The 24,879-nt window shown below is 34.8% G+C and overlaps 1 protein-coding gene across 17 annotated transcripts in view, besides 1 other annotated feature; it reads left to right on the forward strand.

Moving 5' to 3' along the window:
* The window catches only part of NCAM2 (neural cell adhesion molecule 2), a 544,921-nt gene that overhangs the window by 330,337 nt on the left and 189,705 nt on the right, over window positions 1-24,879 (forward strand). For all 17 annotated transcript variants that reach the window (NM_001352592.2, NM_001352591.2, NM_004540.5 and 14 more), the window contains 2 exons: window positions 6,760-6,920; window positions 9,644-9,789. In NM_001352592.2, coding sequence (NP_001339521.1) covers window positions 6,760-6,920; window positions 9,644-9,789 — 307 coding nt within the window. The remainder of the gene's footprint in view (window positions 1-6,759; window positions 6,921-9,643; window positions 9,790-24,879) is intronic.
* Window positions 3,824-4,118: a silencer, noted in NCBI's record as "tiled region #4883; HepG2 Repressive non-DNase unmatched - State 24:Quies, and K562 Repressive DNase matched - State 8:EnhW". NCBI's record gives its function as "represses a minimal TATA promoter and a strong SV40 promoter by Sharpr-MPRA in HepG2 and K562 cells {active_cell/tissue: HepG2 | K562}" and the evidence as "EXISTENCE:reporter gene assay evidence [ECO:0000049][PMID:27701403]".

Genomic DNA, 24,879 nt, shown 5'->3' on the forward strand with positions numbered 1-24,879 from the left:
AAAAAGCTAAGGTGAATTTATTATTGAAGAAAGAAAATGTTTAGTGTCGCTTAAGTATACAGTGTTTATAAAGTCTAGAGTACTATACAGTAATGTCCCAGGCCTTCACAGTCACTCACCACTTACTCACTGAGTCACCCAGAAGAACTTCTAGTCCTGGAAGCTCCATTTACAACATATATATATGCCCTATATATGTATAGCATTAATTTTTTTTTTTTTTTTTTGAGATGGAGTCTCACTCTGTCACCCAGGCTGGAGTGCAGTGGTGCAATCTCGGCTCACTGCAACTTCTGCCTCCTGGGTTCAACTGATTCTCCTGCCTCAGCCTCCTGAGTAGCTGGGACTACAGGCATGTGCCACCATGCCCGGCTAATTTTTGTATTTTTAGTAGAGACGGGTTTCACCATGTTGGTGAGGCTGGTCTCACACTCCATGTGATTATCCCGCGTCCGCCTCCCAAAGTGCTAAGATTACAGGTGTGAGCCACCACGCCTAGCAAAAAACACTTTTATACCATATTTTTTACTGTACCTTTTCTATGTTTTGATATGTTTAGATATGCAGATATTTACTATTATGTTACAGTCGCTTCCAACATTCAGTATAGTAACATACCGTACAAGTTTGCAGCCTAGGAGAAATAGGCCATACCATATAGTTTAGGTGTGTAATAGGCTATATACCATCTTGGTTTGTGTTAAGTACACTCTATGATGTAAACAGAGCTACAAAATTGACTGGGGACATATTTTGTAGAACATACCCCTGTGGTTAGGCAATGCATGACTGCATTATCCTTTTTATGCATGGCTGGAATCAATGTGTCAATAATTTGTTAAGAATTTTTTATATTCATGGTTATGAGAAATATTGTTCCATCATTTTCTTGTTCTTGACTTTTTAGGGGTCAGGGCATTACTAGTGTCAGAGAATGAGTAGTGAAGTATTTCTTCCTCTTCTGTTTTCCAATATAACTTTTATGTAATGTTTATTATTTCTTAAATTTCTGGAAAAATTGCCAGTGAAACCATCCATGTCATAATTTTTCTTAAGTTCACATTTAAGTACAAATTCAATAATATTTTTCATAGAAATAGGGCTATTCAGGTAATTTTCTTTAGTGAGCTTAGATGATTAACGCAATTCCAGGAATTTGTCCATTTCTTTTAAATGGTATTTACTGGCATTGTCATTCATAGTATCCCTTTGTTATACTTCAATTTGCATGTTTTCTGTAGTATTCTCCCCTCTCTCATCTTGATAACCTCATAACTGGTTATTTGTTCTACTGTCTTTTTTATCCTGATTATTCTAGATGTAGGTCTATGCACATACTAATGTCAGTGAATCTGCTTTTGGCTTCACTTATTTCTTTTTTGTTTCCTATTCTCCATTTCATTAATTTCTGGTTTTATTTTTATTATTATTTTCCTCCTGTTTACTTTGTCTTTAATTTTCTTTTCCATTTTTGATTGCTTAAGGTGGACTCATGTCATTGATTCTAATCATTTATTCTAATACAAGCATCTGTTTTTCCTCTCTAAATATGGCTGTAATTGCACCCTGCTAATTTTGATATGTCATATTTCCAATTTGGAGGGGTTTAAATTTTGTTTTTAATTCTCATGTTATTTTTAATACTATTCATTTAGAAGTATGCTGATTTGTTTCTAAGTATTTGGGTATATTTCATAAATATTACTGCTGTTGATTTTTAACTAAATTCTATACTTATCAGGAAATAGACTTTTTAATGGTTTCAATTTATTTAACTTTATTGAGTCTTAAATTAAAGTATGTGTATTCCACTATTATTGTATGGAGAAATCCCTAATATTAAATAGATCAACTCCCTTGATAGTATTGTGGAAGTCTTCTATATTTTTTTGTAACGATTCTTCTCCAACTTTATTTTTAAATGTGTCTATTTTTATATTCAGTTCTCTCTGTTTTGCTTCATATTTTTTGAAGCTCTAGTATTATATGTTTAAACATTTATTCACGTAGATCAGTACTATGAAAATTATTATTTAAGGGCTTTAAGGATGGAAAAAAATGATACCATATAGAACTTTGTTTCAGTCTTTTTCTGTTTTTCATTTTACCATGTCTTCAAGTGAACTAAGTTACGTCACTATGTCTTCAAGTTTACTAATATTTTCTACTGTAATATCTAATGTTTTTAATCCCATCAGAGTATTTCTCATAATTTTATTTTTCTTCTCTGAGAGTTTCAAGGAGATGTTTTGTATGTCCTCCATGCCTCTCTTACCATTCTCATGTTTTACTTCCTTGAAAATATTGGAATATATTTCTAATAGTTGTTTTAATAGGCATCTACTCACCTACCCTCTGTATCATACCTATATTTTGTAACTGACTGATTTTTCTCCCTCTTGTTTTATTTATTTTTTGGAGACAGATTCTCGCTCTGCCACCTGGGCAGGAGTGCAGTGGCACTCACTGCAACCTCCAACTCTCGGGCTCAAGTGATCTTCCTGATTCAGCATCCCCAGTAGCTGGGACTATAGACATGCGCCACAATGCCCAATTAACTTTTTAATTACTATTTAGAGAAGTGGTTTCAGTGTGTTGCCAGGGTTGAACTTCAAATCCTGGCTTCAAGAAATCCTCCTGCCTTGGCCTCCCAAAGTGCTGGGGATACAGGAGTGAGCCACTGTGCCTGGTGATTTTTCTCCTTCCTCTGGGTTGTATTTTCATGTTTATTTACTATCCTGGTTAGTATATATACTCTATACTCTCTCTCTCTATATATATATATATATACTCTATATACATATATATATATACTCTATATACATATATATATAGAGAGAGAGAGAGAGAGAGAGAGTGAGAGAGAGAATCTCACTCCGTCGCCCAGGCTGGAGAGTGCAGTGGTGCGATCTTGGCCCACTGCAACCTCTACCTCCCTGGTTCAGGCAATTCTCCTGCCTCAGCCTTCGAGTACCTGGGAACACAGGCACGTGCCACCACATGGTTAGTTTTTGTATTTTTAGTAGAGATGGGGTTTTGGTATGTTGGCCAGGCTGGTCTTGAACTCCTGACCTCTGGTGATCCATCTGCCTTGGCATCCCAAAGTGCTGGGATTGCAGGTGTGAGCCACCACACCTGGCCGTATCCTGGGAATTTTTATTTATTTATTTATTTTGAGACAAAGTCTAGCCCTGTCGTCCAGGCTGGAGTGCTGTGGTGTGATCTTGGCTCACTGCAACCTCCACCTCCCAGATTCAAGTGATTCTCTTGCTTCAACCTCCCAAGTAGCTGCGACTACAGGCGCCCACCACCACGCCCAGCTAATTATTTTGTACTTTTTGTAGAAACCGGGTTTCACCATATTGGCCAGGCTGATCTGTAACTCCTGACCTTGTGATCTGCCCTGCCCGCCTCGGCCTCCCAAAGTGATAGGATTACAGGTGTGAGCCACCATGCCCAGCCAGGAATTTTTAATTGGGTTCCAGACATTCAGAATTTTGTGTTTTGGGGTGCTGAATATTTTTGTATTATTTTACTTTGTTTTATAGATGCAGTTAAGTGACTTGGAAAAAGTTTTATTTGAGGGAGAGCTTCCATTTAGGCTCTTTTAGGTGGATCCAAACCACCTTCAGTCTAGGGTTAATCTGGTTCCATTACTGATGCAATATTATTCTAAGGACATGACTTAAGTCCTGTGTTTTAGGATATCTTTTTACTCTGGATGGTTGAATTGCAGATTATTCCTGGTGCTGTGTGAGCTTCTGGAATTATTGTACTTTATATTTTCTAATGGTTCTTTCCCTCATCTGAGAAGGCCTTACTGGTGTACACTCATTGATCAATACTCAGTTAAAGATTTGTTGGGAACCCTCTGCAGATATCTATAGCTCTGTTGTCTGTGCAGCTGTCTTCTCTCACATTATCTAACCTGCACCTTCTGTCGCTTTGACCTCCCCCAACTGCACACTCTGTCTTCCAACCCAGATACATTGCCTGACTCTGTTCGTGTTCTCTGCCTCCCCCAGCTGCAGCCTGAAAACTCTCTTCAGGCAGTCAGCGATGGAGGTACTCATATGCCACTGTCATATGCAACCAGTTGGCTAATGTGTGAAAACTATTGTTTTATATGTATAGCCAGTGTTTTTGTTGTTTAAATTGGGAGCATATAGTTTATGTTAATACAATATTGTTCAAAATGAAATTATCATTCAATTCTTTAGTGTTTACATTAATTCTGTAATCCTGACCCCTACATTCTTGTACCTGAAAAAGGGGACGCTTAGAGAAGTGGTTTGAGTTTCAAAGAATGGGCTTAATGCATGTGTCAGAATGCCTTGGAGTGATTTTTTAGACGTTGACATTTCATAGACATGGATTGTGAATAGCAATAGGAGCATTTCTACCTGACTTTATTGGGAGGGAGTAATAAGGTATTTATTGGGAGGGAGTAATAAAGCATTGGTAATATTCCCTTATTTATGATGGCTTAATTATATTTCCTATTGAGCATTTAAAGTGAATGTAATCTGTACACACTTATGTTCTCTAAATATGTTCAAGTTTTGCCCCTCTACTTCAAAGGCCAAATCAAGGATTTTTATTTTCTCATGAAAATTCCCAGAGTAGTACAGCCATCTTCCTTGTCATATCTCCCGTTATAACAGATCACCTCCTGCTCAAAAAAGTTGTAAGTCCACTAATGGAATCTGCATTAACCTCTATTAATGCCAACCAAATTATGGGTTCCTCATGATGGGTGGCAACTAATTTGCTATACATCAAACATTTAGCACAATGTTTTATATGAAGTAAGGAGATAACCCTCTTTTTTAGAAAGAACATTGGAACTTAATTAACCTGCTGCTTTTATTAATGGGTGAGCCTGTCTTTTTATTTGTGAATTGAGGAGTAGAGATATACACATACTGTAGTTCTCTGATTTTGAATGAGTAAGCAGAGGGAAAATGCACATTTATGGGCTAATTGTGAGTGCTGAAACCTCTACCGTGCTATTATTATTATTATTAGGAAACAAATGAATAATTTTCATTGAAGATATTGAGAAATATATTGTATCCCTAATTATGATGAAAACCCTATCTACATATTAAATTCTAGATAAAAACTCTGAAATGTCATTTTTATACCTGTTGTAAAGATTGCATTAGTAATAATATCAAAAATATATATAAAAGATACTATATATGCATTTATTATTATTTTTTTTTTCGGACACAGTCTCACTCTGTGGCCGAGGCTGGAGTGTAGTGGTGTGATCTCAGCTCCCTGCAACCTGCCTCAGCATCCCTTCGGAGTAGCTGGGATTACAGGCGCCTGCTACCACGCCAGGCTAGTCTTTGTATTTTTAGTAGAGATGGAGTTTCACTATGTTGGCCAGGCTGGTCTCAAACTCCTAACCTCAAGTGATCCACCGGCCTCTGCCTCCCAAGGTGCTGGGATTACAGGCATGACCCACCACACCCGACCCATTTGTTATTATTTTATGAATCCTAATTTTGCAATCTTCCACTCCTCTTAAGAAATGTTGTGTACTTCATGGTACATTTAGAGATGTCATGAGAAACTGGAACAATAAATTCTATTGAGTATAGACATATAAAGATTATGTTCATATATGTGTTAGTGGTTTCTGGAAAGTAGAACCAGAATTCACTGGAAGGAACTGCTTAGTGTATCAGAGAAATGTTTGATTTTATTTTAGAAAATAGTTTTAATAATATTTATAGAGATTTTTTTAAATTTACAATTGTATGGACAAGCAAATGTCTCCATACCAATGGACAAATTCCAGAACTTTCCATTAGTGGTTTTAAAATCAATTCAGTCATGCAAAATACTATTATAAGAAAAATACAGGAGGGGATGCAAAGAAGAGAAAAGAGGAAAAAAGATGAATAAAATGAAAGGAGAATACACAATATAAAACGATTTCACAAATACCGAGGGAAATCATAGAAATAGTTCAGATTTTAATATATTGAAAATATTTCTTACTGTAGATTATAGTAAAAAATGTTTGAAAGCCGTGGTTGGTTTTAAAGGACAACTTAGACTAGAATGGAGCAGAGTGAGATGTATTTCAGTAGAGAAAAAAAACCTTAAAAATATTGATAATTATTTGGGACTAAGAGGAAACAGAAAAACAATTTATTTTCCTCATTAAAGAATAAAATTATCACATTCAAAATAGTTTCTAAATTAATTGTGTTTTCATGTAATTCTCTCATCTTACTATTTTATTGGCAGTACTTATATGCAATATACATTTATGATATATTTACATTGTATTTACTTTGAAGCTTCTGTGAAGAAATTTTCTACATAAATTATTTTAAATGTGTCCCAAGAGGGGAGTAAATAAATATATATAATAAATATGTATTGTCTCACCAACATTTAATTGTGTATGGGATTAAAAACAGCAAACAAAATGTTTTTTTTGCCAATAATCAAAGTACAAATTGAACTGATATACTTTTTGCCTGGTAACTATTAAGATTTTGACATAGTTCAAATGTTATTCTTGTGTTTACATTCAAAAAAAATTTCAAGTATAATTTTATTGTTTATTCGTTAAGTTCTGAGGCTACTAAAAATATACTTTTGATTGGAATATAGCCCTGTCTTTCAATGATGATAGCCATATAGTCATCAATGCCTATAGATTAAAAAGTTGATTAAAATCTACTAAATTATAAAGCCAGATCTGTGAGGATGAACCTCTTTTTTCTTCTTTAGGAATGGCAAGCTCATTGAAGAAAATGAGAAGTACATATTGAAAGGGAGCAATACAGAACTCACTGTCAGGAACATAATCAATAGTGATGGTGGTCCTTATGTCTGCAGGGCCACAAATAAGGCAGGAGAAGATGAAAAGCAAGCTTTCCTCCAAGTCTTTGGTAAGTATTATAGCATAGTGGCTAAAACTGTTATGTCTATTGGAAGATCAGAGTGAAATTCTACTCTAATCATTTGAACTATTTAAACTTTCCATATTAAATCTGTTTCCTCTTCTCTGTAATATGTTTTTTAAATTTCAGCTACCAGATAGAATTTTTTGAAGAATAACGTAAAATTACATATGCAAATTTTTGTAAGTCATTGATATGCTTACAGAAGCTGGAAAAAAATAATTTAAATTACACCTAGTGGGGTTTGTCATCTGTGTCTGTAAGGGTGGATCTCTGTAAGTCTCTAAATGACACATGTTAGGATCAGTTTTACTTACAATATAGTTCAAAAGGGCACATTTTTAAGGCTACAATTTAAAAACATTGACATGTAACTATACTTAAATATTTGCTTTCATTTAACTAAATGAAAATATAAGATAAATATCTTCCATATTTACCAAGAGCCATATTATCTTATTTGGGTAACTTATAGAGCATATAAAACTAGTACTTTACAGAAATATAATGACGTAGCTTCAATTATGTTTACAAGAAGAAAGACAGTGATGGCAGTGGGTGCTTCTAATAGAATTTTTCCCTTTAATTAGTGTAACACTAAAAAATATATGCCCTATTAACATTTAATATGTTTTCTCCAACTTTAAAAACACTGTTATTGAAATGCTTTCACAACAAAAAGAGGGAAAAGGAAGGAAGGAGAAATCTGTTAGAATAAGAAGGACTGGGGCCTGTTGTGGGGTGGGGGGAGTGGGGAGGGATAGCATTTGGAGATATACCTAATGTTAAATGATGAGTAACTGGGTGCAGCACACCAACATGGCACATGTATACATATGTAACTAACCTGCACGTTGTGCACATGTACCCTAAAAAAGTATAATAAAAAAAAAAAGAAGGACCAGTGTTTGCAGTTGACAGGTGCAGAGTGCCCCTTACACTGACCATGAGATGAATGGTAATCCCTGCGTGGACACGCCCTCTGCAGACTGGCCCTGTAGTCACTGCTGGAAGCATTTTCTGAGCTAGAGAGATATTTATAAAGCTTATTTTCAAGTGGAGTGACAAGGAGAATAAACAGCTATACCAAAATGTATTAAAATAAAAAATACAATTTTAAAAGTAGAGATGTTTTGAGAAAGAAATTGGATAAATCAGGAAGCATTGAATAAAGAGAAGTATTGTTTTGGATAGCATAGTGTTTGGAAAGTTATTCAGCAGGATAATGTTTAGGTGATGTTCAGAATGATGATCTTCTAATGATCAGAAGTAGGCCAAGCTAAGAGCCTGGAGAAGATTGTTCACTTACAGGGAAAAGTAAATATACTTAACATTTTTAGAAATTATAGAAAGTCCCTAACTTGTTCTAGCAGTGTTCCCCACTTGAAAATATTTTTTCTATAAAACCTACAAAATTAAATAAGTATGATTCAGTATAAAAATAATCATATTAGAAATAGTATTGTGTGAGATTATTCCAAAGGATAGATGGTCTTAATCTGCCTCAGTGTACTCATCTGAAATAGTATTTACATCGTTTTTATCAGGATTGCAGTGAAAAAGAAAAAAGATTTTTTACATTTCTGATATTTTCATCCTTTCAAGTAGAACATAATACATGAAAATTTTACATGTTATGTTATTGTTATAATCCCTTTTGTGTAGTAACATTCAACAAACTTTTGTTGCTCCTGACACAAAATTGTATGCATATTGTGGGAATATAACTAAATCTATTAAAGTTAATGAAATAAAGAGTGAATTGTTAAAAATTCTGTATGCTGTTTTTCTGATACCAAGAATGTTATTTTCTGAGCTTAAGAACAACTTATTTGTGTTTCTTTGTTAAATGTATTAAAATATATAAAAAGTAACTCACACTGAAATAATGAGTACTTGATTGTATCCATTTTATATCTAAACAAGCAAACATTTAGGAAATACAAATAACACAGATTTCAAAAAATAAAGCTCTCTGGAACTATGTAAGTTTATGGAGGGACATATTTTAATATTAAGATAATTAAAATTAGTAGACATAATGCTTTTCTTTTTATACAATTGATGATTAAAAATTAGTTACGTTGTCTAGTATATTGTTAAGTAAACTGAAGTCAAAATAAATCAAGTGGAATAATATATATAAGTAAAGTAAATATATTTACTTAGTAAATGTTTCAAAATTTTATATGATTCTACTTGCTACATTTTCAGGATATATCATTTACTTCTTTGGTGAAATTGTTAAAGCTTAAGAGAGAATTAAACCAATTGTGTGTGCATGTGTCTGTATAAATATATTCATGTGTGTGTATGTGTATATATACATATATGTGCACACATATGCACCCATATGCATGTGCCTTTAAAGGAAGAAATTTTGATTTTGTGGCTTTAAGATAGGAAAATAAATCATGAGATGACTTTTAAATTGGCAGAATTTTGAAACAAATTATAATTTGGATGTTGGTTTCTAAGTCACCTCAAGTTATTTTGTATAATGGTAACAGATGAGTTTTATTTCCTAAATTTTTTTTCCTGTGCTATTCAACTGTCCTGGTACGTCTGTAAGGCAAAGCAGGCCACTGTAATTCTACAAAGCTAATAATATCATACTATACTATAGTAGACTTAAACACCCATCATGACTTTTGTCTGAGAAGTAATATTTTCCTCCAATACCGGTTGAGTAATATATATATTCTTTACAGTACAGCCTCACATAATACAGCTTAAAAATGAAACTACATATGAGAATGGTCAAGTCACACTCGTATGTGATGCGGAAGGGGAGCCTATTCCAGAAATCACTTGGAAAAGAGCTGTGGATGGCTTCACGTTCACTGAAGGCGATAAGGTAACCACATCTCAATATGTAATGGTTTCCATTACCATGCAATTTCAGTATTTTCAATATCATTAAATCACAAATTAGTCTCCAATTTACCTAGTAACTTGTAGGATCAAATAAATGGTTTGATTTTTAAAAAGGTAACTAACACAATGTCGGCTTTACCACTTTCGTGGGAGGGGAAATGTCAATATGAAATATTTAAAGATGTTCTTTATTAAGTCACAAACGTTTAGGCTATTGGTATTACTAGCATTGCTTAACTAGACTTTTGTTATACGTTGAATCTATAAAGTATGTTATTGCAGTTTTAACCCCTGCTGTGTGAGTATCTGGCCTTTGCAAATTCACTGACCATGAGAAAAGTGCTAGGACAAATAATATTGCCATTTTAAAAACAGGAATAAAGATTTACAAACCAGTACATTTAACTTTAAACCTCAGCAATTTCAGTTTCTTAAAGAAATGATTGTATATTTAGAAAACACTGTGGTGAGTGATGAGCGTTGGGATTGGCGAAGAAGATTTACTTCAAATTAATTTAATGTATTTTCTACTTAGACAGGTGTCAACAAACTACAGTCCATAGGGCAAATTTGGCTTCCAGCCTGTTTTGGTAAATAAAGCTTTATTGAAACTAAAGCAAAAGAGTAATTTAAATTCAAAAAAGTCTGACTGTCATCCAATGCTTTACCCTTTAGAAATTGTCTTTCTGCAGTAGAAGTGTAGGTTCTGCTTTCATATAATTTAGAATCTAATGTAGAGAAATAGGTACAAACAAATTACTGCATTGTGATGACCTTTAACCAGAATGCATTCAACTTACTTAGAAATTAATGAAACATTACTATATGTTTCACTATACTAATGGATTTTAATTACTATTATATTTCACAACTTTTCATATGAACTTCAAATACAAACAAAAGAGAAAGGAAAAGATGGTGAAATATTGAAATGATAGAACTGGCAATTTCACATAAGTGAAGATTATAACATTAGGCTATTACATTGCTTTTCTCTACTCAGTGTTAAAGAGAAACCTCCTTTAAACTTTTTTCATTATTAACTTTATTTAGGTAAAGAGTCCAATTTCTAAAGTATTCATACACCTCAATATAACTTTGATTTATTAACATTGATAGTAAAAAAGAGAAGAATAAATGTTTGTCCATAGTACACTTTACATCAATCAGTCCATCCCATCATGTTATATTTAACAACATGCTAAACCCATAAATTCACCAAAAAAGTAACTTCTCTGGTCAATTTATTACTTTCCTTTTGAAAGACTGTGTTATCATATATGTTACCCTTTTTTGTTTCATTTTCTCCTCATAATGGCATTTTAAGAGATTATTTGATAATTGTACTATTTTGATATACTTATTTTATATATTCAAGTTGAAAATCAAATTTATAAAATGTGAATGACAGTCATAATCTTCTGCAACCCAGATAAAAGTTATAGTTTGCTTTAGTATATTCTTAACAAAAAATAATGTATGTTACTATGACACAGTTGCCAAATCTGAAAAGAATTAAATTTATGTGAAATTAAAAAAATACAATCGTATCTGAAACCATAGAGGATTGTTTTTGTTTCAATTTTGCATGTTTATTTAGATTAGATCACTCAAAAGTATTTACTTTCATGCCCTTAGACTTTATCATACCTTCATATTTCTAATGCTGTTTTCTAATTATTTTTCAGCTTACTGCAAAATTCTTAAAAGTTATCTTCTCAAAGATAGTTTTTACTCTGCATTTAATGAATGTTACCTTATATATTATGCAGAGAATGAAAGATAAATTATACTCAGTTATTTCATTAATAAATGTCATCAAGTAACAAGAAAGCTGTTATATTTTATTCTTGGATCTATGCCTCAGGCCACCCCAAACTACACACAGATACTTATTCTGTAGTAACTGTGAAAAATAATCTTAAAGCTTTTGTTTCCTAAGGAGTATATTAAAAAACACATCTTGTTTTAAGAAAATCTGACTTGGTTTCTTTGCAATAAACAATTATAGAAACTCAAATATGCTTTTCTGCACAAGTTTAATCCAGTCAATAAAGAAATTAAGTCTATTGTATTTCTATTATATTTCTCCAAATATATTTTAAGATCCTTGACTTATTTTTCTATACTCCAGTACACTTCTTTTCCCCTAATATTTCTAGTTTCCTGAATAGCATAATTCACAAATCAAATGGTTGAGCTGAACTTTGAAGTAAAGTTTATCTAGTTTTGAATCTCAGCTCTGCCATTTATGATGCCTCAGCATGATAAAATTGAGTTCAAAGAGTCCAAATAACATTACCAGTGTTATTTGAACTCTTTTTAATATGAGTTTTTAATATGAATTTTTTCATCTTTAAAATGTTGATATTTACCCTCTTGTTATAAGGAAGATGAGCACATTACAAATGCATATCAATGTTTATCATATTATAAATATCCAATAAACTTTACTTTTTACCTTGCCATATTACAAATTTACAGTACAAATTTACACATTTTACTTTGTCATATTACAAATTTACAGTATGGCCTCACATAATACAGCTTAGAAATGAAATTACATATGAGAATGGTCAAGTCACGCTTGAAGCATAGTTTATCTTGTTGCCTCTGTAAAGTATAACTAAGGTTTGATTGAACTTTAATGAGATCATATTATTCCTATCATGGAAAGTAGCATGGGATTGTACTTTCCATAAGAATCACGTGGGAAGACTATGAAAATGCAGATTCTAGATTCCCACTTCTTGAAGTTGATTTAGTATATGCAGCCCAGGGCATAGGAATGCATATTAAATAAACTCATCAGTTGGTGTCATATTGTTAGTCTTCAAGCCATATTTTGGGAAACAACTTCAAGTAAGGATGAAAATTAACAGCTAATATTTCCAACAGAAAAATGATCTTAACCAATTAGTTGACACCTGATGGGGGCTTGGGAACTATAAAACAAAACTAAACTAAAATTTCCATTATGCATGTATCAGTCAAGTTTTGATGAAACTAAAATATATAGATCAAAAATAGTGAAATATCATAAATGTCGTGTAGTAAAAACTAATAATTTCATCTAACAACATGGCAATGTATTTAGCAAATATGTTCATCATTTTAGATTTTTCAGAGAGGAGGGTCTCAATTAACAATATTCTTTTTTTTTTTTTTGTCTAAGTTCTCAATCACCAGATAAGACAAAAAAAATGGGGATAAAATACCATGTGACTTAAATGTATAGATGAGTGAATGCTCTTATACTGAGCTCAATAATTAGATAAACATACTCAACACAGTCCCAAGTAGCATGAGACTTACAGCCCTCCCCTGTGTGAGAAGACATGCTAAGATAACCTTGACTGAGGGGGACAATGGTGAACCCATGTTCTCTTTGGGGTGGTCCTTTCTGAAAAGAAAAAAAGGAGTGGTTAGGAAGTGTATTTAATTTTTTGTGCCCCCATAGTTACCTATCAGATATCTCTTCACTTCCCATGGGAGAAAAAGTAAGGGACTTGAAAAGTCCAACTGTGGTATGTTGGAAGACCTTCCTCCCCATGGAATAAATGATTAAGAGTTCACGAGTAGCATTCACTGCCCAACTAACAATATGCTAATAACATTTAAATCACCATATACATAACTATCTCAGTTTATCGTCTGGTATTATTACTGCATAGTAAATGACCCCATAATATAATGGCACAAACCAATAATTTTCTCTCACTTTTGATTTTGTGGATCAGAAGTTTGAGTAAGGCTTGGCCAGATGGATATCACTTGGAATCTCTAATGTGCTTGTATCAGATGTTGCTACTAATGTTGCTTGTAGTTGTAGTTATGAGGAGGTTCAACTTTGCTGAGAAGCCAACATGGCTCACTTAAGTGGCTGGAATTCAGTCTTGACTGTGGGCTGCAAGCTCAGGTGGAGCTGTTTTTGGAACATCTATATGAAGCCTCTCCAGTATGGCTATCTAAGAGCAGCCTGCTGTCTTTTGTGGCAGCAGGCTTTCTCCACAGAGAACATTTCAGAAGAATCAGGCCAGACAGACACTATCTGGTCTACTCTGACATAGTCTTGGAAGTCACACATTTCTCACTTCTGCCACAGTATATTGGTTACAAACAAATTATAAGGTCGCCCAAATCCAACATGAGAGGAATTAGGCACTCTGTCTTGATGGGGAAGGATTCACAATCATATTGTAGATAAGTATGTGGGGTGGGAGATATTGTTAAGGCCATCTTTGGAAATGCATCTACAATTTATCTCAAAATATTCCCATGACTTAAGTCCAATCATTTTCCCAGGCTTGTAGATGAGGAAACTGAGGCTCAGGAAAATTCAGGGGTTTGCACAAGGTCACACAGGGAGTAAGTGGCAGTGGCAGGATTTGAACTGTGGTCTCTCACTCTGCATAGTGCATGCCCGTGCAAGGGCTTCAGGATTCTGTTAAAGTGTATGGCTGGCACTCTCATAGGAATTTAAATTATATTTCCATTTAATCAAATAATTGAAAAGTCAGAAGAAGCTTTGTTTTTAAAACTTGTTTATAATCTGATATTACTTATTTTAAACTAATTAAAATATAGTGTTCAGTAAACACCAAAACTATTTACTGGTTTTTGTTAAAATACATATATGTAAAAAATTACTTCGTATAATGGGTACTACCAAAATGTTTGAAAACCCATGCCATATAAAACAATCTAGAGGTGTGGGAGGGGAGCAAAATGGCAGAATAGAAGGCTCCACCAATTGTCTCCCCAACCCTGCAAGGACACCAAGTTAACAACTATCTATACACATACACACACACACACACACACACACACACACACACACAATCTTCATGAGAACCGAAAATCAGGTGAACAGTTGTAGTACTTGGTTTTAACTTCATATTGCTGAAAGAGTCACTGAAGTGATAGAAAAAAATAGTCCTGAATAAACAACACCAACAAACCTCCACCACCCTCAGCAGCCTTGACATGGTGTCGAGAGCTTCTCTGGGAGCTGGAGGAGAGAGAACATAGCAATTTTGAGGCAGTGAACTCAGTCCTGACCTGTTAGAGCAGAAAGGAAAACAAGACCTAATTCAACTGACACCCACCCACAGAGGGACAATTTAAACCAGCCCTAGCCAGAAAGGAATCACCGATTCCAGCGGTACAAACTTGAGTGCCTGCAAACCTCACCAGTGAGGACCAAAGTGCTCTGTGTCTCCCAGTAAACTTGAAAAAACTTATGAAACTCTAGGCCATAAGGACTGCAACTCTTAGGAGAGTCCTAGCGCTGAACTGGGCCAAGAGACAGTGGACTGGTGTCAGGTGGGGAGGAATGTGACATACAGATACACCAGCTGGGGTGGCCAAAGGAGTGCTGTCATCTTCCCTCCCCTAACCCCAGCCTGCACAGCTTGTGGCTCCAAAAGAGACCTCTTTATTCTGATTGACGAGAGGAAAGGAAAGAGTAAGGAGGACTTGGATACTAGCTCAGCCACAGCAAGATAGGGCAACTGTTAGAGTTGTGAGGACTTTGTTCCATGTCTTATCTCCCAAACGGTGTTTCTATAATAGACAAACTCTGGGCCAGATGAGAACACACTGGCTTTCATGAAAGGACCCAGTCCTGGCAGCATTCATCAATGGCTAACTAAAGAGCCCTTGGGCCCTGAATAATCCACAGTGATACCCAGGTACTACGTCAAGGGCTTTGATAAGCCTCTGATACTTTGCTGGGTCCAAATAATAGCACAGCCATGGGGGTAAAGCATGAAGTGGGGTCGTAGGGTCTGCCAATCCAGGACCTTACTCTTGCATGCCATTTCTGGACCTGCTGTGGGTCACTGTCCTGAAATGTGATTGCAGGCCAGGCAGCATTCACCACAAGCTAACTTAAGAGCACCTCAGCCTCAGGGGAACATTGTTGTAGTCTAGCAGTACTCCTTGTGGTCTGGGGTGGTGGTGGCTACAGGGTGAGGCTCCTCTGCCTTTGGAAATGGGAGGGAAGAGGGGGAAGAACTGAATCTTGTGGTCTGAGTGCCAGATCAGCCACAGTACCATAGAACACCAGGTAGACTTCTAAGGTTTTAGACCTCTAGTCTCTGACTCCTAGACAGCACCTCTGGACCCACCTGGGGCAAGGGGGACCTTGCTTCCCTGAAGGGAAGGATGCAGGCCTGACTGGCTTTGCCTCCTGCTGATTGTAGAGCCCTAAAGCCTTGAGCGAGCATAGGCAGTAGCCAGGGAGAGGTTACAACAGGCCTTAGGTGAGACTCTGTGCTGTGGTGGCTTGAGGTCTAAAACAGCACAGCCATACTGCTGATGGCCACAGGAGTGCTTGTGTCACTCTTCTCCCAGCTTTATGCGGTCAGAAAATAGAGTGAGACTGTGTTTGGGAGAAAGTAAGGGAAGAGAACAAGAGTCTCTGCCTGGTAATACAGATAATTTTCCCCGAACTTGTCCAAGACTATCAAGGCATTACCTCTATGAGTCTGCAAGAACCTCAACATTACTGGGCTTTGGGTCCCTCTAAAGCAAATACAACTTAGATCACAATACCCAAGGTTTTTCAAATATCTGGAAAGCCTTCCTAAGTAGGATGGATACAAATAAGCCCAAACAGTGAAGAATGCAATTAATACCTAACTCTTTAATACCCAGACACTGAAGAACATCTACTAGCATTAACACCATCCGGGAAAGCATGACCTCACCAAATGAACTAAATAAGACCCCAGAGACCAATCCTAGAGAAATAGAAATATGTGAACTTTCAGACAGAGAATTCAAAATAGTTGTGTTGAGGAAACTAAAAAAAATCAAGATGACACAGAGTTGGAATTCATAATTCTATCAGATCAATCTAACAGAGATTGAAATAATTACAACGAATCAAGTAGAAATTCTGGAGCTGAAAAATGCAGCAGGCATATTGAAGAATGCATTAGAGTCCTTTAATAGCAGAATTGTTCAAGCAGAAGAAATAGTCAGCTTGAAGACAAGCTACTTGAAAATACACAGAGGAGAAAAAAAGAATAAAAAAAATGAAGCATGCCTACAGGATCTAGAAAATAGCCTCAAAATGAAAATCAAGAGTTATTGTCCTTAAAAAGGAGATAGAGAAAGAGATAGGTGTAGAAAGTTTATGCAAAGGGATAATAGGAACTTCCTAAACCTAGAGAAAAATATCAATATCTAACCGCAGGAAAGTTATAGAACACAAAAGATTTCCCTAAAGAAGGTACTACATCAAGGGCTTTGGTAAGCCTCTGAGACTTGCTGCGTCCAAATAATAGCACAGGCATTTAATACCTCAAGGCATTTAATACTGAAACTCCCAATGGTCAAGGATAAAAAAGCAAAAAACTAAATCATATCACCAGAGAAAATCACCCTCACTGAAGGAAGACAGGAAGGATAGAAAGAAGGAAGAGAAGACCACAGAACAACCAGAAAACAACAAAATGGTAGTAGTAAGTCCTAACTTATGAATAATAACATTGAATATAAATGGACTAAACTCTCCAATCAAAAGACATAGACTGGCTGAATGGATAACAAAAATAAGACCCATTGATCTGTTGCCTACAAGAAACATACTTCATCTATAAAGACTCACATAGACTGAAAACAATATTCCATGCCAACTGAAACCAAAAAAAAAAAAAAAACAGGAGTCACTATACTTATGTCAAACAAAATAGATTTCAAAACAAAAACTATAAGAAAAGACAAAGAAGGTTAATATATAATGACAAATGTGTAAATTCAGCAGGAGGATATAATAATTTAAATATATATGCACCCAACATGGGAGAACCCAGATACATAATGGAAATATTATTAGAGCTGAAGAGAGAGGTCCCATCACAATAATAGCTGGAGACTTCAACACCCAACTTTCAGCATTGGACAAATGTTTCAGACAGAAAATCAACAAAGAAACTTCAGATGTAATCTGCACTATAGATCTAATGGATCTGGTAGATGTTTATAGAACATTTCATCCAATGGCTGCAGAATACACATTCTTTTCCTCAGCACATGGATCATTTTCAAGGATATATTATATACTATGTTACAAAGCAAATGTTAAAATATTTAAAAAATTAATATCAAGCATCCTCTCTGACCACAATGCAACAAAACTAGAAATTAATAATGAGGACTTTTTGAAAGTATAAAAATACATGGAAATTAAAGAATATGCTCCTGAATGACCAGTGTGTCAATGAAGAAATTCAGAAGGAAATTTAAAAACTTCTTGAAACAAATGATAATGGAAGCACAAAATACAAAAACCTATGGGATATAGCAAAAGCAGTAGTAAGAGGGAAGTTTATAGCTATAGGAGCCTCCATCAAAAAAAGAGGAAAAACTTCAAATATGCAATCTAATGATAAATCATAAAGAATGGAAAAGCAAGAGCAAACCAAACACAAAATTAGTAGAAGAAAATAAATAATGGAGAACAGAGCAGAAATAAATGAAATTGAATTAAAAAATACAAAAGGCCAATGAAACAATAAGTTGCTTTATTAAAAAGTTAAACAAAATTTACAAAGCTTTAGACAGACTAAGAAACAAAGAAGATACAAGTAAATACAGTTATAAATGAAAAAAGAGACATTACAACCAATACTGATGAGCAACTATATGCCAATAAATTGGAAAATCTAGAAGAAATAGACGAATTCCTATATACATACAACCTACACATAAACAAAATTTAATGACATTTTTCACAGAAATAGAAAAAACTTTCTAAAATTTATATAGAACCCCAAAAGACTCAGAATAGCCAAAGCTGTCCTAAGCAAAAAGAACAAAACTGGACAAATCACATTACCTGACTTCAAATTATACTACAGAGCTATAGTAACCAAAACAGCATGGTACAGGAAGAAATCCAAAACCTGAACAGACCAACAACAAGTAATGAGGTGAAAGCCATAATAAAAATCCTCCATAAAGAAAAGCTTGGAACCTGATGGCTTCACTGCTGTATTCTACCAAACATTTAAAGAAGAGCTAATCCCAGTCCTACTCAAACTAATTCAAAAAATAGAGGAGAAAAGAATATTTCCAAGCTCATTCTACAAGGCCAGTATTACTTTGATACCTAAAACAAAGACACATAAAAAAAGTATCTGATGAATATTGATGCAAAAATCCTCAGCAAAATACTAGCAGCCAAATTCAACAACACATTAGACAAATCATTCATCATGACAAAGTGGGATTTTTCCTTGGGTCAACATATAAAATCAATGTGATACATCATATCAACAAAGTGAAGCATAAAAACCATATGATCATTTCATTTGATGCTGAAAGAGCATTTGATAAAATTTAACATCCATTCATGATAAAAACACTCAAAAAACTGGGAATAGAAGGAATATATGTCAAAATAATAGAAGCCATATACGACAGACCTACAGCTAGTGTCATACTGAATGTGGAAAAATTGAAAGTGTTTCCTCTAAGATCTGGAACACTACAAGGATGCCTACTGTCACCACTGTTATTCAACTTAATAATCAAAGTACCAACTAGAACAATTAGACAAGAGAAAGATCTAAGTGACATCCAAATTGGAAAGGAAGAAGTCAAATTATCCTTGTTTTTAGATGACATGGTCATATATTTGGAAAAACCTAGAGACTTCACAAGAAAACTGTCAGAACTGATAAATTCAGTAAAGTTGCAAGATACAAAATCAACATACAAAAATCAGTAGCATTTTTATATGTCAGCAGTGAAGAATGTGAAAAATAAAAAATATCCCATTTGCAATAGCTGCACATGAAATTAAATACCTAGGAATTAACCAAAGAAGTGAAATGTATCTATAATGAAAACTTTGTAAACACTGATGAAAAAAATTTAAGAGGACATCAAGAAATGGAAAAATATTGTATGTTCATGGATTGGAAGAATCAATATTTTTAAAATGTCCATATTACCCAAAGCAATCTACAGATTCAGTGCAATCCCTATCAAAATTTAATGACATTTTTCACAGAAATAGAAAAAACTTTCTAAAATTTATATGGAACACAAAAGACTCATAATAGCCAAAGCAAAAAGAATAAAACTGGACAAATCACATTACCTGACTTCAAATGATACTATAGAGCTATATTAACCAAAACATCATGATACTGGTGTACACACAGATACATAGACCCATGGAACAGAATAGAGAACCCAAAAACAAATCCACACAACTACAGTGAACCCATTTTCAACAAAAGTGCCAAGAATATACAATAGGGAAAAGACAGTCTGTTCAATAAATGGCGCTGGGGAAACTGGATATCCATATGCAGAAGAACAAAACTTGACCCCTGTCTCTCACCAAACACAAAAATCCAATCAAAATGGATTAAAGACTTAAATCTAAGACCTCAACTTATGAATCTACTACAAGAAATCATTGGGGAAAATCTCCAGGACATTGACCTGGGCATAATTTTTTGAGCAATACCCCACAAGCACAGGCAACCAAAGCAAACGTAGACAAGTGGGATCACATCAAATTAAAAGCCTTCTGCACATCAAAGGTTACAATCAACAAAGTGATGAGATAACCAACAGAATGGGAGAAAATATTTGTAAACTACCTGACAAGGGATTAACCAGAATATATATGGAGCTCAAATAATTCTATAGAAAAAATATAATTATCTAATCAAAAAATGGGCAAAAGATTTGAATACACATTTACCAAAAGAAGATACACAAATGGCAAACAGATATATGAAAAGGTGCTCAATGTCATGGATCATCAGATAAATGCAAATGAAAACTACAATGAGATATCTTCTCACTCTGATTAAAATGGCTTATATCCAGAAACTATGCAATAAGAAATGCTGACAAGGACGTATAGAAAAGGGAACCTTTGTACACTCTGAGTGGGGAGGTAAAATAGTAAAATAGCAATGGAGAACAGTTTGGAGGTTCATCTAAAAAGCTAAAAGTCTAGCTACTCTATGATTCAACAATCCCACTCCTGGGCATATACCCAAAAGAAAGGAAATCAGTACAACAAAGAGATCTCTGCACTCCTATGTTTGTTGCAGCACTGTTACAATAACTAAGATTTGGAAGCAACCTAAGTGTCCATCAACAGATGAAATGGATAAAGAAAATATACACAGTTGGGTACTATTCAGCCCTAAAAAGAATGAGATCCAGTCATTTGCAACAGCATGGATGGAAGTGGAGATCATTGTGTTAAGTGAAATAAGCCAGCATAGAAAGATAAACATCACATGTTCTCACTTATTTGTGGGATCTAAAAATCAAAACAATTGAACTCAAGGACATAGATAATAGAAGAATGGTAACCAGATGATGGGAAGTATAGTGAGGTGGGGCGTGGTAAGGATGGTTAATTGGTAAAAGAAATAGAAAGAATGAATAAGACCTACTATTTGATAGTCCAACAGGGTGAGTATAGTTAATACCAACTTAATTGTACATTTTAAAATAACTTAAAAAGTGTAATTGGATTGTGACTCAAAGGATAAATGCTTGAGGGAATGAATACCCCATTTTCTTGAAGTGCTTTTTTCACATTGCATGCCTGTATCAAAACATCTCATGTACCCCACAAATACATACACCTACTATGTACCCCAAAACTTAAAAATTTAAAAATTAAAAATTAAAAAAAATCTAGAAACTTAACACTATTCTCACTGTAAAATAAATGATTAAGATAGTAAATAAATATTTTCAGAGTTCATCTTCAATGATAATGGGTTAAAGTTTTAATAACTGTAACTCACTAACTACGATGTGTTCCTAATTGTTTTTATTTTATTATTGGGCACAATTTTATACTACAATCCAGGACAGCTTCAAATAGTGATAGAATTATATTATTTCACATAAATGCTACTGGGAAAAAAATTATGCCTTTTATATGAAATTTCTCATATTCTACTGGTTTCTGATGCTAATAACCCTTCCTTGCTTTGAGGAAGATATTGAACTGTTGAACTGTGCATATGAATACAGCACAAAATAGCTTTGCATAATGTGATATCCTTCAAAAACAACAGAATTCACACTGGTTAAAAACAGAGCTATTTTAAACTAATGACTATTGTTATCTGTCATCCAAAGCATTTTATGTACATGTAAAATAATATATGCAATTTTTAAAACTGTTCAGATCAATTTCAGATATACATATAAGCGTATCTATTTTCCTTAGAAATGTTTTCTAATATCTAGGTCGGGTGCGGTGGCTCACGCCTGTAATCCTAGCACTTTGGGAGGCCGAGGCAGGTGGATCACGAGGTCAGGAGATGGAGACCATCATGGCTAACAGGGTGAAACCCCGTCTCTAGTAAAAATACAAAAAAAAAAAAAAAAAGGAGAGAAAAGAAAAAAAATTAGCCAGGCGTGGTGGCGGGTGCCTGTAGTCCCAGCTACTCCGGAGGCTGAAGCAGAATGGCGTGAACGCGGGAGGCGGAGGTTGCAGTGAGCTGAGATCCTGCCACTGCACTCCAGCCTGGGAGACAGAGAGAGCGAGACTCTGTCTCAAAAAAAAAAAAAAAAAAAAAAAAAGAAACTTTTCTAATATCCAATATAATTTCAAGATAATTTTTCTCTATTTTATTGAGTTAGTTGTCACTAACTTTTAATTATTAGTTTATTTTAAATTTCTAGGCAATTTATTTTAGTGATAACTCAAATATTATTGGCGATATTTCCATTAAAATATAATTGATGTACAGTAGTAGGGCTATCCAAAAATAAATCAACAGCTTAAACTTTTCATAGAAATTTGGCATTTTCTTAAGATGCACTTGTGTTTACAAATTGGAAACCCTGACCTCTTTATTTAATTAATGTTGTGTACTTAATTGTAATATTTAAATGTATATAATAAAGCTTAAGACAAACCAAAGCTCTTTCCACAGAATATGAAATAGCCATAAGTCAAAATTTTGAATTATCTTGTACATACTAAGCAATATATTGTTTTTATTAAAAACTTTTCTTTATTAAATTAAACCATGCTTTTTTTCAAAGCCTTGATCTGAGATATATGTGAGATTGTATGTTCAAAGTGTTTTAACATAATTTTGTCACATAACAAACACCTACTAAATATTGCCACTTTATATAAACATCTCTCATCTATTTGTTCATTTGTTTGTTTCTGTTTTGTTTTGTTTTGTTTTGTTAGACAGAGTCTAGCTCTGTTGCCCAAGCCAGAGTGCAGTGGCACGATCTCGGCTCACTGGAACCTCTCCCTACCAGGTTCCAGTGATTCTCCCGCCTCAGCCTCTGGAGTTGCTAGGATTACAGGCACACGCCATCACGCCCGGCTAATTTTTTTATTATTATTACTAGAGACAGGGTTTCACCATATAGGCCAGGCTGGTCTTGAATACCTGACTTCAGGTGATCCTCCCACCTCAGCCTCCTCAAATGCTGGGATTGCAGGCTCTCATCTGTTTTTGAATCAAAGTTGTTTGGTTGTTATTGTTTCCTTGTTTTTTTGAGAAAGGGTCTTGCTTTGTCACACAGGCTGGAGTGCAGAGGTGCAATCACAGCTCATTCAAGCTTCAGCCCCCCAGTCTCAAGCATCCTCCCACCTCAGCCTCCTGAGTAGCAGGACTACAGGCACATGCCACCATGACTAGCTAAATTTTTGTAGGTTTCTATTTTACTTTATTTTATTTGGCTGTTGTTGTTGGTGGTGGTGGTGGTGGTGTTTTGTAAAGACAGGGTTTTGTCATGTTGTTCAGGATGGTCATGAACTCCTGGACTCAAGCAGTCCACCTGCCTCAGACTCCCAGAGGGCTGGGATTACAGACATGAGCCACCTTGCCTGGCTCCAAATTTATTTAGATCGTCTCTTATTATCATTCTTCTTGATCAATAAATGTTAGTATACATAGAAATCACAGATATTGATGAATTATAATGGGAAGTCATGGAAAGTGTCACACAATTAAAGCTTAATTCTGACTTTCTTGCTTTTGGTGTGTCATTGACCATGTTAGTTCTCATCTCTGATTTCAGTTTCTGCATGTACAAATCAAGATATAAGACCTACCTGAAAAAGGGTTCTGAAGATGAAATGAGATTACATGTAACAATATCTCAGACACAAGCCCAACAACTTGAAAGTGTTTTTCTAGTTATACATTTAGAAGAATGTATAACTAGAAAAACACTTTCAAGTTGTTGCACATGTACCCTAAAACTTAAAGTATAAAAAAAAAAAGATTAGAAAATTAAAAAAAAAAAAAAAAGAAAGTGTTTTTGTTTTTGTTTTTGTTTTGAGACAGGGTCTCACTCTGTTGACCAGGCTGGAGTGCAGTGGCACGATCCCAGCCCACCACAACTTCCGCTTTTCGGGTTCAAGCAATTTTCCTGCCTCAGCCTCCTGAGTAGCTGGGATTACAGGTGCCCGCCACCATGCCCAGATAATTTTTGTATTTTTAGTAGAGATGGGGTTTCACCATGTTACCATGTTGGCCAGGCTGGAAAGTGTTATTTTCTATTATTCTTGGAGTTATCCTGTCTTCATTCCATATTATACATACTGTTATGTTGCAATTACATTTTTCATAAAGAAAAATGAATATGTTAACTCCGTTTCAATGACTGCTGTCACACAAGAGACTAGATAAAAATTTTTAAAGCATAGTCCTATGTACTTTATGATGGAATACCATCTAAAAAATGACTGAGTCTTCTACCCTTAGTTGTCAGAGATTGTGCTTCCGTATAGCTACAAAGTTTACTCTAAAATAATCTCTAGCAATATTAATTCAGTGATTCATATATCAGGTTTTACCACACTAAATTCCAGATCTTGTGACTGTATATCTTATTCCTTTTGGAAGTTGACAATGTCGGAAGTCTGCATTTGGCTCTTGTCATAACCACCTTATGTTTGCCTTCAATCGCCATCCATACAGGCGAGTGCACATAAGGTCTCTCACGTCCTATGCTAGATGAAGATAGATTCTCAGGCCACTCTTAAGTGATGAAGGCTAGTCTCTACCTATGAGGCACAAAATCAGAATAG

Source organism: Homo sapiens, chromosome 21, assembly GCF_000001405.40.
Source record: "Homo sapiens chromosome 21, GRCh38.p14 Primary Assembly".
In the NCBI taxonomy this organism is placed as follows: domain Eukaryota; kingdom Metazoa; phylum Chordata; class Mammalia; order Primates; family Hominidae; genus Homo; species Homo sapiens.